The sequence below is a fragment of the Homo sapiens genome, chromosome 19 (assembly GCF_000001405.40).
Source record: "Homo sapiens chromosome 19, GRCh38.p14 Primary Assembly".
NCBI classification, from domain to species: domain Eukaryota; kingdom Metazoa; phylum Chordata; class Mammalia; order Primates; family Hominidae; genus Homo; species Homo sapiens.
In genome coordinates, this window is record NC_000019.10 from 6,277,112 (window position 1) to 6,290,676 (window position 13,565).

Sequence of the window (13,565 nt, forward strand, 5' to 3'; positions counted from 1 at the left end):
TGCCAAGAGTCCCGCAGGGACACTGACCACCAACTCACCTACTTGAGTAAAAGATACCATTCTCTCCTGTTTCCCCAGGGGCCTCCGGCTCTGTGAGGAAGGGACAGAACCCTTGGGCCTCTCTCAAATTTGCATGAAAGCTTTGCTGGGGAAGCTAGAATCAGACTTTGGGTCCAAACACACTTCCCTCCAGGAGCAGCTTCCCTTGCAAACACTTCTGCAAGGAGGGAGACCATCACCATCGACGGAACTTTCTGCGATGATGGAAATGCATCTGCATTGCCCGACAGGGTGGTCAGTAGCTCAGTAGCTCAGTAATGGTGGTTACTGAGTGCTTAAAATGTGGCTGGTGCGATGGAGGAACTGAAGTTGTCATTCGAGTTAGTTTAAATGTAAATCAGCCACAGATGCTGGTGACTGTGGTACCGGGCAGTGCAAAGCCAGCTCTCTCCCACACCTGTCCACCTGAGTGAGACCTTTATCTCCCTCTGTCGCAGACCAGGAATGCCACCCATTTCCACCATCCCACTTACATAAGTGACAGCCACCCAGACCTCCAGGGTTCCACACATCACAAGGGGAACAGACACGCTTCGGCCTAGGACATCTCCCCCAGGGACTAAGGAAGGAGGAAAGGGGCCATACCCTATGCCTCTGTGTGCCCAGCGGGACTTGCCTGGAGGTGGGCTTCATTGAAAGTGGACACTAAAGGTATATTTCATTTGGGTTTTTAACTCAATACAGATTGGAAGCAACAAGCTCTGTCCCTTCAACGGAAATCAACTCACACCACGCCGTGGAAATCCACCAATCAACTGCTGCAAACTCTTCCTTACCTCTTAAGAAGAAGGCAGCAACACCCAAACCAGATGGGAAGCCATGGGAACTGGGTGCCAGAAGCATGAGACACCTGTCTCCATGACCCTGTGCCACAGGCGCCGAGATGGGCAGGAGGGAGGATTCTTGCCCCCCACCCATGAAACCACACAGACAGTGCCACTTCAGTGGCGCCAGCAGCCAGGGACGCCCCAACCTGCCCTCTCTAACGGCGGAGATTTTGGCTGCCACCCCCACAGCCCCACAACACCTTTCCTGGCCTGGTGCCCCTGAAAGCCAGGGCAGCAGAGGAGGAGGAAGAAATGATCCCATGTTGGGGGCCAGCAATGCTTCTGGGCTTGAGGAAGAGGGGTAGGGGCTTGGGTATTGGAGAAGAGGCAGCGCAGAGTTGGGTAAAGGGGGTGCCAGGGTGCAGGAAGGCCTCGTGTTTATGAGAACCAACACAGACCAATGGGGAGGGGCCGTCCAGAGCGTTTAGGGAGGTTGGGGAACCCACCCACCCACCCTGGGTTTCAACTGAGGCTCTAAGATCCTGGGGGAAAAAAACAGAAAATGAGGTGGAAGGAGGGAGAGGGTAGTGGCTGAAAGAGACATCAGGACTCATCAGGCTGATGGGCGTTAGATGAAGTGGGAGATCCTGAAGGCAAAGGTTGTACAGGAGACTGCAGGACTGTGACGTGACCAACCAGCCTGGGAGGGAGATCTGGACTGGGGTCAAGTGTGGGGAAGCCTAAATCAGGATCCCAGGGGCGGAGAGGGCCCAAGCTGAGGGGAACAGCAGGCCATCAGTGACTCAAAGGTCTGGGGAATCCAGGTCAGAGAAGAAACTGCTCCTGGTCCTGGTCTCAGAGCAGAGGGTCTGAAGGTGAAAGAGACAGCCCCGCCGGGTCCGAGGGAGAGTGACCAGGGCCTGAAACTAGAAGGGGGCTGAGGCGGCAGGGTGGGTCAAAGAAAGAAGTCTGAAAAAGCAAGTACAAAGAGAGGGGACACTCCAAACAGGCCTGAGTCCCTGCAGCAGAAGACCGAAGGCCAGGGTCCTAGGGAGTCAGAGGAGCTCAGGCCAGGGCTGGGGTTGGGAGAGAAAGGGATGCCCTGGCTGCAGCCGGGGCAGGATCAGACGGGAGAGAAGGCTCAGGTCCAGGTAGGGGATGGGTGGAGATAAAGCTTAGGCTGGGCCGGGGTTCAAGGAAGAGAGACGCCGCAGAGCAGGGTCCCAGGGGGCCGGGGACGCCTCATATCTGAGCTGAGGTTGAAGGGAAGACAGACAGCAGGTTGGGGACTCTGGGAGTTTGAGGCGACTCGGGGACAAGGGTCCAGACAGGAAAGGAGACAGTGACTGGCCCTGGACCTAGAGACGGAAAGGTCTACTGGGCAGATCCGAGGGGCCCCGGGAGGGGTCTGAACAGGGCCCAGATCCCAGGAAGTGCCTGGAAGGAGCTCTGGGCCAGGCTGAAGTCCCGAGAGCTGTCTTGAGGTCCCTAAGCCGGGCTGGGGTCCCCAGGGGCGTCCCAGGTGGATGCAGGTCGGACTGGCGTTCCGAGGGGTCTCCCGGGGGTCTCCGAGCCAGGCTGGGGGGTCACCAGGGGCGTCCCAAGGGGCTCCGGGCCCGGCCCGGGTCCCGAAGGGTGTCCGAGGCGCCCTGGCCGGGGTCGCGGATGGGGGAGGGGCGCCCCCGCCCCACATAAAGGCCCGAGGAGCGGCGGGCGCGCACAAAGCGGGCGGGCGGGCGCGGAGCGGGGAGGCCGGGACCGGGGAGGGCCGGGCGGGCCGGCGGGCGGGAGGGGGCCGGGCGGGCTGCGCAGGGGCGGCGCGGCCGCTCCTCACCTGATTGTCCATGGCTGGCGCCCCGCCCCGCCCCCGGGCCCCGCGTCGCTCGCCGCCGCCGCCGCCGCCGCCGCCGCTCAACGCCGCCCCGCCGCCCTCATTGTCTGTCAAGCGCCGCCGCCGCCGCCGCCGCCGCCGATCCCGGCCGCCCGCTCGCCCGCCAGCCCCGCGGAACCGGAAACCACCGCCAGCCCGGGTCGCGCACCGATCACGGGCCCCCGCCGCCGACTAGGGCCCGCCGCATCGACTGACAGCCACCTGGGCCAATCGACGGCGCGGACGGCCGCTTGTGGCGCGGGACTTCCTGCCTGGCGGGGGCCTGCCGGGCTGCGGCCGGAGGGACGAAGCCCGCAGCCAATGGGAGGCCGGGACCGGAGGGGCGGGAGGAGGGAGGGAGGGAGGCGCGAGGCGAGCCTGGCGGAGGGGAGCGCGAGGTGTGCGCCGCACGTGGAGGGGGGCGGGGGCGGGACGGGCGCGCGGCGCCTGCGCGCTGCGGCCCGCAGGGGGCGCTGCCTCGTGGCTGGAGCCTCCAGGGCGGGAGCGTCCCGGGGGCTGGAACTGAGGTTACGGGTTCGAGCCCTGTGGAGGGATCCCCCAGCCCCCCCGGTAGGGACACTTTTGTTTCCTGACCTCATGATGCTGCTATGTAATGGAACGAGCCCTGGGCTCTGGAACTGGAGATTAATTTTCTTTTCTTTTTTTTTTTTATGAGACACGTCTCGCTCTGTGGCCTAGGCTAGAGTGTACTAGCACGATCTCAGCTCACTGCAACCTCCACCTCCCAGGTTCAAGAGATTCTACTGCCTCAGCCTCCCGAGTAGCTGGGATTACAGGAGCTCGCCATTATGCCCAGCTAATTTTTGTATTTTTAGTAGAGACGGGGTTTTGCCATGTTGGCCAGGCTGGTCTCGAACTCCTGACCTCAAGTGATCCGCCTGCCTCAACCTCCCAAAGTGGAGATTAATTTTCTAATCTTGCATAATCCTTGGCAAACCTGGTCAGCCCCTTCTTCACCTTTCCCTGAGTCTCAGTTTGTGCATCTGTGAAATAGGTTGAAGAACAGTACTGTGTGATTCTTCATGCTAATTTGAATGATACAAATTTGAAATCGTGCTACATTCAAATGACCCAAGAGAGTCACATGTTTTCAGTTAGACACGAAGAATAAGTTCTGGCGATCCATCACACAGCAAGGTGACTACATAATAATGTAATTTTATATTTTAAAATTGCTAAAAGCGGCCAGATGCGGTGGCTCACGCCTGTAATCCCAACACTTTGGGAGGCTGAGGGGGGCGGATCACCTGAGGTCAGAAGTTCAAGACCAGCCTGGCCAACATGGTGAAATCCCATCTCTACTAAAAAAATACAAAAATTAGCCGGGCGTGGTGGTGTGTGCCTGTAATTCTAGCTACTCAGGAGGCTGAGGCAGGAGAATCGCCTGAACCAGGGAGGCAGAGGTTGCAGTGAGATGAGATCATGCCACTGCACTCCAGCCTGAGTGACAGAGCAAGACTCTGTCTCAAAAAAGAGAAAAAAAAGAAAAAAAATGCTAAAAGTGGATTTTGAATGTTCTCACCATAAATAATTGATAAGTATATGTGGTGATGGATATGTCAATTAGCCTGATTTGTTTATTCCATAATGTATACATGTACCAAAGCATCAAGGTGTACCCCATACATATATACAGTTATTATTTGTCAATAAAGATTTTTTTTTTGAGATGAGGTCTCTGCTGGAGTGCAGTGGCACAATCGTGGCGCACTGTAACCTAGACCTCCTGGGTTCAAACAATTCTCCCACCTCAGCCTCTCAAGCAACTAGGACTGACTGCAGGCTCATGTCACCACGCCCGGCTAGTTTGGTTATTTATTTATTTATAGAAAGAGCGATCTCACTATGTTGCCCAAGCTGGTCTCCAACTCCTGGCCTCAGGCAATCCTCCTGCCATGGCCTCCCAAAGTGCTAGGACTATAGGCATGAGCCACTGCGCCCTGAACAAAGATATAATTTTTAAAGAGAGAATCTCATGTTATCCACAAAATTTTAAATAATACCCATCTCTCAAAAAACTGTTTTGATTTATTGAGGATCACAAAATTTTACAATGACCTGTAAACTGTGTTTATGTGGGAAATAGGCATAACCCCATTTTTTCAGGACTTTATAAGCCACTTGTCTCTTGGACATTAGGACTTCTGCCTGTGATTTGGGGATCCTTGTGCAGTTATTTTAATTCCTTCTTGTCATTAAAAATCGGGTTGTCATTTACAAGAAAGAAACAAACCACCCCATTAAAAAGTGGGCAAAGGACATGAACAGACACTTCTCAAAAGAAGACATACATGCGGCCAATAAGCATATGAAAAACGCTCAACATCACTGATCATTAGAGAAATGCAAATCAAAACCACAATGAGATACCATCTGACACCAGTCGGAATGGCGATTATTAAAAAGTCAAAAAACAACAGATGTTGTCAAGGTTGCAGAGAAAAAGGAGCACTTTTACACTGTTGATGGGAGTATAAATTAGTTCGACCACTGTGGAAGACAGTGTGACGATTCCTTAAAGACCTAGAGGCATGAATAATGTTCAACCCAGCAATCCCATTACTGGGTATATACCCAGAGGAATATAAATAATTTTATTATAAAGACACATGCACGCGTATGTTCACGGCAGCATTATTGACAATAGCAAAGACGTGAAATCAACCTAAATGCCCATCAGTTATAGACTGGATAAAGAAAATATGGTATATATACACCATGGAATACTATGCAGCCATAAAAAGGAATCAGATCATGTCCTTTGCAGGGACATGGATGGAGTTAGAAGCCGTCATCCTCAGCAAACTAACGCAGGAACAGAAAATCCAACACCACATGTTCTCATGTATAAGTGGGAGCTTAATGATGAGAACACATGGTAACATAGTGGGGAACAAAACACACTGGGGCCTGTCAGGGGGTGTGGTGGGGGGAGGGACAGCATCAGGAAGAACAGCTAACAAAGGCCGGGCTTAATACCTAGGTGATGGGATGATCTGTGCAGCAAACTGCCATGGCACACGTTTACCTATGTAACAAACCTGCATATCCTGCACATGTATCCCTGAACTTAAAAGTTGGATTAAAAATAAATAACCCCTCTTTAAAAAATCAGATTGTTGGGGCACACGTTGTTGGGATCTCCTGTGAGCTGTGTCATGGGCAAAAAGTGATAAAATTGTTTAAAAACGAAGAAAAAATTGAGGCGGGAGGATCACCTGAGGTCAGGAGTTCGAGACCAGCCTGGCCAACGTAGTGAAACCCCGTCTTTACTAATAATACAAAAATTAGCCTGGCATGATGGTGGGTGCCCATAATCCCAGCTACTCAGGAGGCTGAGGCAGGAGGATCGCTTGAACCCAGGAGATGGAGGTTGCAGTGAGCCGAGATTGCGCCACTGCACTCCAGCCTGGGCGACAAGAGCAAAACTCTGTCTCAAAAAAAAAAAAAAAAGAAAAGGGAAAAGAAAGAAACAGATTGTTTTCTCACTTAAGTGTCAGTCAAACATTTATTAGCTAGTGGGGCCAGTGTTTGCACTGAAGAACAAATAGCACCAGAAAATGAGTAACTTTGGAATGAAAGTAAGTCCAGATAAAAACTCTAAAGAAGGTCAGGTTGCTGTCATGGTAATACCACCATGCTTTTTAATCAAGGGCAGGTGGTGCTGGAAAGAAAAAAAAATGGAGATCATGCTGAGAAAATAAGCAGTGATTTAATGTTGATAATTTTTTTTTTTTTTTTTGAGACAGGGTCTTGCTCTGTCACCCAGGCTGGAGTGCAGTGGTACAAACACAGCTCACTGCAGCCTTAACCTCCTGGGCTGAAGCGGTTCTCCCACTCAGCCTCTCATGTAGCTGGGAACACAGGCATGCACCTATTTAGATATGCCTATTTCCCACATAAACACCACGCCCAGCTAACTTTTAAAATTTTTTGTAGATGGCCAGGTGCAGTGGCTCACACTTGTAATCCCAGCACTTTGGGAGTCCAAGACAGGCGGGTCACATGAGGTCAGGAGTTTGAGACCAGCCTGGCCAACATGGTGAAAACCCATCCCTACTAAAAATATAAAAATTAGCTGGGTGTGGTGGCATGTGCCTGTAATCCCAGCTACTCGGGAGGCTGAGACATAAGAATTGCTTAAACCCGGGAGGCAGAAGTTGCAGTGAGCTCGGAGCCAGATTGTGCCGCTGCACTCCAGCCTGGGCAACAGAGTGAGACTGTGTCTCAAAAAAAAAAAAAACAAAAAAACCGTCTTGCCCAGGCTGGTCTCAAACTCCTGGGTTCAAGCAATCCTGCTGCCTCAGCCTCCCAAAGTTCTGGGATGATAGGTATAAGCCACTACACCGGGCCGTAACGGACTCTCGCTCTGTCGCCCAGGCTAGAGTGCAGTGGCACAATCTCTGCTCACTGCAAGCTCCGCCTCCTGGGTTCAAGCCATTCTCCTGCCTCAGCCTCCTGAGTAGCTGGGATTACAGGCATTCGCCACGACGCCCGGCTAGTTTTTTTGTATTTTTGGTAGAGACAGGGTGTCAACATTTGGCCAGGCTGGTCTCAAACTCCTGACCTTGTGATCCTCCTGCCTCGGCTTCCCAAAGTGCTGGGATTACAGGCGTGAGCCACCGTGCCTGGCCAAAAAATAAAATTTTTTTTAATCCTATCACTGGATGTAAGTAGATCAGTTGCTCTAAGTAGTCCCCAAAGCAGCAGTGTGAGCATCACTTGGGTATGTTGCTATAAATGCACATTCTGGTCTTCCCCCACCCTTGTTTATGGAACCAGAAATTCTAAGTGTTTGGACAGCAGTGGCTTAACCAACCCTACAGATGGTTCCAAGGCTCACCTAACTTTCAGAATCACTGTCCCAGGTAAAGGGACAAAATGGGAGTCAGGGGTAGCCATCTATCTTTTTTTTTTTTTTCTTTTTTTTTTTTTTGAGACAGAGTTTTGCTCTGTTGTCCAGGCTGGAGTCCAGTGGCAGTCTCAATTCACTGCAACCTCCACCTCCCAGGCTCAAGTGTTCCTCCTGCCTCAGTCTCCCAAGTAGCCAAGAATAAAGGCTCATACCACCATGCTCAGCTAATTTTTGTATTTTCTTTTTTTTGTGGAGACAGAGTCTTGTTATGTTTCTGAGTCTGGTCTTGAATTCCTGGGCTCAAGTGATCCACCTGCCTCAGCCTCCCAAAGTGCTGAGATTACAGGCATGAGTTACCATGCCTGGCCAGCATCTGTCTTTGAAGAAAGCTTGCAGGAAAGAACCTTTAGTCTACACTTGCTACAAATATGAGCTTCTGGAACTCAATCCCCTCCCCCTTATTCAGTTGGGAAATTACTGTTCACTTAGGTTCTAAATTGTTGGGAATTTTCAAAACTGCATCCCCTGGGCTCCCACTGGCTGAGGTGGAATACTTTGAACATCGAAAAGAATAATGGGGAAGGGCCGGGTGTGGTGGCTCACGCCTGTAATCCCAGCCCTTTGGGAGGCTGAAGAGGGCGGATCACGAGGTTAGGAGATTGAGACCATCCGGGCTAACACAGTGAAACCCCGTCTCTACTAAAAATACAAAACAAACAAACAAACAAACAAAAAAAAAACAATTAGCCGGGTGTGGTGGCGGGCGCCTGTAGTCCCAGCTACTCAGGAGGCTGAGGCCGGGGAATGGCATGAACCCGGGAGGCAGAGCTTGCAGTGAGCCAAGATTGCACCACTGCACTTCAGCCTGGGCGACAGAGTGAGACTCTGTCTCAAAAAAAAAAGAAAAAAAAAGAATAATGAGGAAGGAACTGAATGTCTACTGACACATGAGCGGATAAACTAAACATGGTTTATCCATGCAATAGAAGCTTATTCAACCTTAGAAAGGAAGAAAATAGGGTGTAGTGGTGTGCACCTGTAGTCCCAGCTACTTAGAAGGCTGAGACAGGAGGATTGCTTGAGCGCAGGAGTTTGAGGCTGCAGTGGGCTATGATTGCACTGATGGCAGTGGCTGGCCATCTGGACTGGCCACCACCATCTTACTAGCTGCAGCACAGAGGAATGGCCAGGACTGCATGTTCCATAGATCTGGCAGAAGCTGGTGACAAGTGGGAGCCCCGCCCCTTCTGCATTGGGGTGGGAGCTCCCTGGGTGGTGCTGCAGCCACTAAAGCCATGGCTACAGACCTGGGCATTACTGGGCTCTCAGGCCCAGAGGCAGGCAGGAGCCCCACCCTCCCAGGTGCAGCTGCAGCTGTCCAAACTGCAGCTGCAGATTAGGAGTCCCTGCACTCCTAGGGGCCCGGGAAGGTTCCCCCTGCCCTTGCAGGCTCAGAAATGTCTGCTTCCACTGCTTGGCTTCTCCCTGCTGTTGGTGCCCACTCCATCTCAAAGCAAAGTTGGGGCTGAGCCCCAGAGCTGTTGCAGCCAGGCAGGGTGTGCACAAACTTGGGGCAGCACAGACACACCAGCCCCCTGCTACCTCAGCCCCATCTGGACTTCGGGCACCAACGAGCATAGGAGGGAAGCCAAAGGGGGGGCTGAGGGCAGCTCAGTGCTGACCTGCATGCGCCCCTTGGCACCTATAGCCTGGGCACCATCAACAGCAGCAGGAGGTAGACAGGTTCCTGGATGGAAGGGGATGGGTCCCTGGTGAGGCCCCACCTTCAGGCCAGGGAGGGCCTGAAGGCTAGGGGCTGGGCTACCAGCCCCATGGACTGGAGTGGAAACATGTGATGCCTTTTCCAGGCCTGCTCATGGACCAATCAGCATGCATTTTTTCCCCTCTGAGGCCCATAAAAGCCCTGGGCTCAGCCAAAGCTGGGCAGATATCGGGATGACCAGCTTCAGAGAGCAGCTACCAACTCCAGGGCCTCCTCTCTGCTGAGAGCTGCAGAGACGTCGGGACTACCAGCTGCAGAGAGGAGCAACTCACTCTAAGGCCTCTTCTTTGCTAAGAGCTGGGATGAACATGGGATGACCTGCCTGCAGAGAGAAGCAACTCACCCCAGGGCCTCCTTCTGCTGAGAGCTGCAGGGAATGATGGCACAACCTGCTTGCAGAGAGGAGCTACCCACTCCAGGGCCTCCCCTCTGCTGAAAGCTGGGCAAGCAATGGGACAACCTGCCCGCAGAGAGAAGCTACCCACTCCAGGGCCTCCTCTTCACTGAGAGCCACAGAAAATGACAGGATGGACTGCCTGCAGAGAGGAGCTACCCAATCCAAGGCCTCCTCTGAGCTACTCTGTCGCTCAATAAAGCTCCTGTTCACCTTGCTCACCCTCCACTTGTCCACATACCTCATTCTTCTTGGGCACAGGACAAGAATTCAGGAACTGCTAAACAGCAGGGCTGAAAGAGCTATAAAACCCACAGGGCTGAAACATGCGCCTTGCCATGTTGTGGGTGAAGAGAAGGAGAGAAGAGCTGTGGCCCTTCAGGGACCTAGGAGCTCCCTGAGCCAGGGCTGTGACTCCCTCTTTGGACCCCAGTGTTTCCTATAGTCTCCAAGCTTCTGAGTGCCACTGCATTCCCTGGTGGCAGCTGTGGAAGCTGCTTATGGTGCACCTGGTCTGGCCGCAGCCTCTCAGAGAGCCAGGGCCCCTGCCAGCACCTGGAGCTGTCTGCTCTGCTGCAGCAGCTGGTGTGCCTGGCTGCATGCAGTGGCCGGACCTCATGCTTGCTTGCTTGCTCACACACCCCTCGCCCCTCCATGCCTGGCTTGCCCTTGGCAAGTGTGAGATCCAGGCTAGTAGTGTGAGCTGAGCACAGCCTGCCAGGCCGTGTGGGTGGAATGAGCCCAGTGGGCCCGAGCAAAACTCAGGCAAAGGTGCCACCAGCCACAGAGGTTTCCAACCAGAAATCAACACCCCAAGGATCCTGCAACATTTTTGAGGGCTCGTCCAGGATCTGCAGAAGGGTGAGTGAAAGGGTGAGTAAAAGCAGATCTGCTCTTTCTGTCCCTTTTTAGGAGTCCCTAAACTCAACAATAGCTAAAATGAAAGAAAAACACCAGGCCTCTATTAGCCAGTTAAAATTAACTAGCAGAGATGCTGGACTTAAAACATGGATGATAGCCTTGCTGGGGAGGACACTGTCAATCCCTCATCATCCTCAAGTGTTGAGAATGTTGGGTTTGTTTCAATCCCGTTTCCTTCCATGAGGTCTACCTGTTACATGGGACCAGAAGGAGGTCCTGGGGCAACTGAGGGTATCTGGCTGAGGCTATGCCTCAGTGTTATCCAAAGGCCCCTGGACTAACTCCTGAAACTCAAGTCCCTAAGCGCCCATTAGGGTGTTGTTGGCACTAGGACCTCCAGTCTCCTATCTTTCTTTCTTTCATGGTTGTCAAGGTTCTTATCTCTTCTTTTTTTTTTTTTTTTTTGAGATGGAGTCTTGCTCTGTCGCCCAGGCTGGAGTGCAGTGGCATGGCATGATCTTGACTCCTGACCTTAGGTGATCCACCCACCTTGACCTCCCAAAGTGTTGAGATTACAGGCATGAGCCACTGCACCCAGCTCCTATCTCTTCTTTATATACAACATTAAATTTCTGTGCGCACGCGTGTGTGTGTGTGTGTGTGTGTGTGTGTGTTTGAGACAGAGCCTTGCTCTGTCGCCCAGGCTGGAGTGCAGTGGTGTGATCTTATCTCACTGCAACATCTGCCTCCAAAGTAGTTGGGATTTCAGGCATGCACCACCATGCCTGGCTAATTTTTGTATTTTAATAGAGATGGGGTTTCACCATGTTGGGCAGGCTTGTCTTGAACACCTGACCTCAGGTCATCCACCTGCCTCGCCCTCCCAAAGGGCTGGGATTACAGGTATGAGCCACCGCATCCAGCCTACAATGTTAAATGTTAAGAATGTTGCTGCAAAACAGAGAAATTACTGGATAGAATGAGCATTTGGCTTAGTCATCAAAAGTATAAAATGGAAGGTTAAGAGTAGCACAGATGAGCAAAGTGTGCCTTGGTATCTGTACATAATTTTGTGGGAAAAATGTTATTGTCATTTCCTTGGTTGCCATCTTGGTGCAAGGCACCTTGAGGCACAGAACAGAAGCATGGCCTCAGGAAGGAAGCTTTTCTGTAAACACAAGGGCAAATAAATGGTCCAAGGTCCCATACATGCAGGCCTTCTTTGCCTTGCAGGGTAATCTGGACCTTTGCCAACATTGTAGGATTGATTCAGCTGTCCTAATGGCCTTCTCAGGAGAAGCTGCAAGGGGTAATCCCAGAGAAATAGGGAAGCATACCCCAGAGGTACCTCCAGCAGGGGAATCAATCCCCTCAACTCCTCCCTATCCAGGTTCTCTCTCAAGCTTGCCCCGGCATAGTAATCCTTGTTTAAGGCAGGTCCCAGTCTCAACTGCCCAAAAACAGATGCCTGGTGAATATGGTCCCATTGAAGTTCAGTTTTCCTTTTCTCTATAGAACTTAAGGCAAATTTAAGGGGAGATCTTGGCAAGTTTTCAGATGGCCCTCACAGGTATATAGAGAGTTTCCAGAACTTAACCCAAGTATTTGAGCTCTCCTGGAAAGATGTCATGTTACTCTTGTTTTTGTTTTTGTTTGAGATGGGGTCTCACTCTGTCATCCAGGCTGGAGTGCAGTGGCACTCTCTTGGCTCACTGCAACCTCCACCTCCCAGGTTCAAGTGATTCTCCTGCCGCAGCCTCCCAAGTAGCTGGGACTACAGGCATGCACCACCACACTGGCTAATTTTTATATTTTTAGTAGACATGGGGTTTTACCATATTGGCCAGGCTGGTCTCAAACTCTTGACCTCAAGTGATCTGCCCACCTTGGTATCCCAAAGTGCTGGAATTACAGCCATGAGCTGCACCCGGCTTCATGTTACTTTTGAATCAAACCCTGACCACCACTGAAAAGCAGGCCACCCTGAAAGTGGCACAGAATTTTGGGGATGAGCTTTATATCTTATATAGGGCCAGGGAAGGGGATGAGACTTATCTGATTGGAAGAATAGCAGTACCACTGAAGAACCCTAAATGGGACCTCAATGATGAGACAAAAGAATGGGGCCAGGCGTGGTGGCTCACACCTGTAATCCCAGAACTTTGGGAGGCTGAGATGGGCGGATCATGAAGTCAGGAGATCAAGACCATCTTGCCCAACATGGTGAAACCCCATCTCTACTAAAATACAAAAAAAATAGCCAGGCATGGTGGTGCACACCTGTAGTCCCAGCTACTTGGGAGGCTGAGGCAGGGAATCACTTGAGCCTGGGAGGCAGAGATTGCAGTGAGCTGAGATCATGCCACTGCACTCCAGCCTGATGACAGAGCAAGACTCTGTCTCAAAAAAAAAAAAAAAAAAGAAAATGGAAAAGGAGGCCAGGCACGGTGGCTCACACCTGTAATCCCAGCACTTTGGAAGGCCGAGGTGGGCAGATCACGAGGTCGGGAGTTCTAGACCAGCCTGACCAACATGGTGAAACCCCATCTCTACTAAAAATACAAAAATGAATTAGCCAGATGTGGTGGCACATGCCTGTAATCCCAGCTACTCAGGAGGCTGAGGCAGGAGAATAACTTGAACTTGGGAGGTGGAGGTTGCAGTGAGCCGAGATCATGCCACTGCACTCCAGCCTCGGCGACAGAGCAAGACACCATCTCAAAAAAAAAAAAAAGAATGGAAGAGGAAACACTTTCAGGTGTGCATACCAGAGGGCATACGAAGGACTAGGACAAAGCCTCTCAATTACACTAAGCTATCCATGGTAGACAGGGATTAAGCGTGAGTCCCACTGCCTTCCTGGAAAGGCTAAGAGAGGCCTTGGTAAAACACACCTAAGTCCTGATTGAGGAGAGGGACATCTGATCCTAGAGGATGAGTTTATGACACAGTCA

General features: G+C 51.8%; 1 protein-coding gene across 2 annotated transcripts in view, besides 2 other annotated features; it reads right to left on the reverse strand.

Moving 5' to 3' along the window:
- Positions 1-2,864, reverse strand: part of MLLT1 (MLLT1 super elongation complex subunit) — a 69,595-nt gene extending 66,731 nt beyond the window's left edge. For both annotated transcript variants that reach the window (XM_047438846.1, NM_005934.4), the window contains exon 1: positions 2,662-2,864. In XM_047438846.1, the coding sequence (XP_047294802.1) occupies positions 2,662-2,673 (12 nt within the window). In that variant the 5' untranslated portion in view covers positions 2,674-2,864. The remainder of the gene's footprint in view (positions 1-2,661) is intronic.
- Positions 1,952-2,031: an enhancer, noted in NCBI's record as "active region_13823". NCBI's record gives its function as "activates an Ori minimal core promoter by ATAC-STARR-seq in GM12878 lymphoblastoid cells {active_cell/tissue: GM12878}" and the evidence as "EXISTENCE:reporter gene assay evidence [ECO:0000049][PMID:35858748]".
- Positions 2,832-3,261: a silencer, noted in NCBI's record as "silent region_9947". NCBI's record gives its function as "represses an Ori minimal core promoter by ATAC-STARR-seq in GM12878 lymphoblastoid cells {active_cell/tissue: GM12878}" and the evidence as "EXISTENCE:reporter gene assay evidence [ECO:0000049][PMID:35858748]".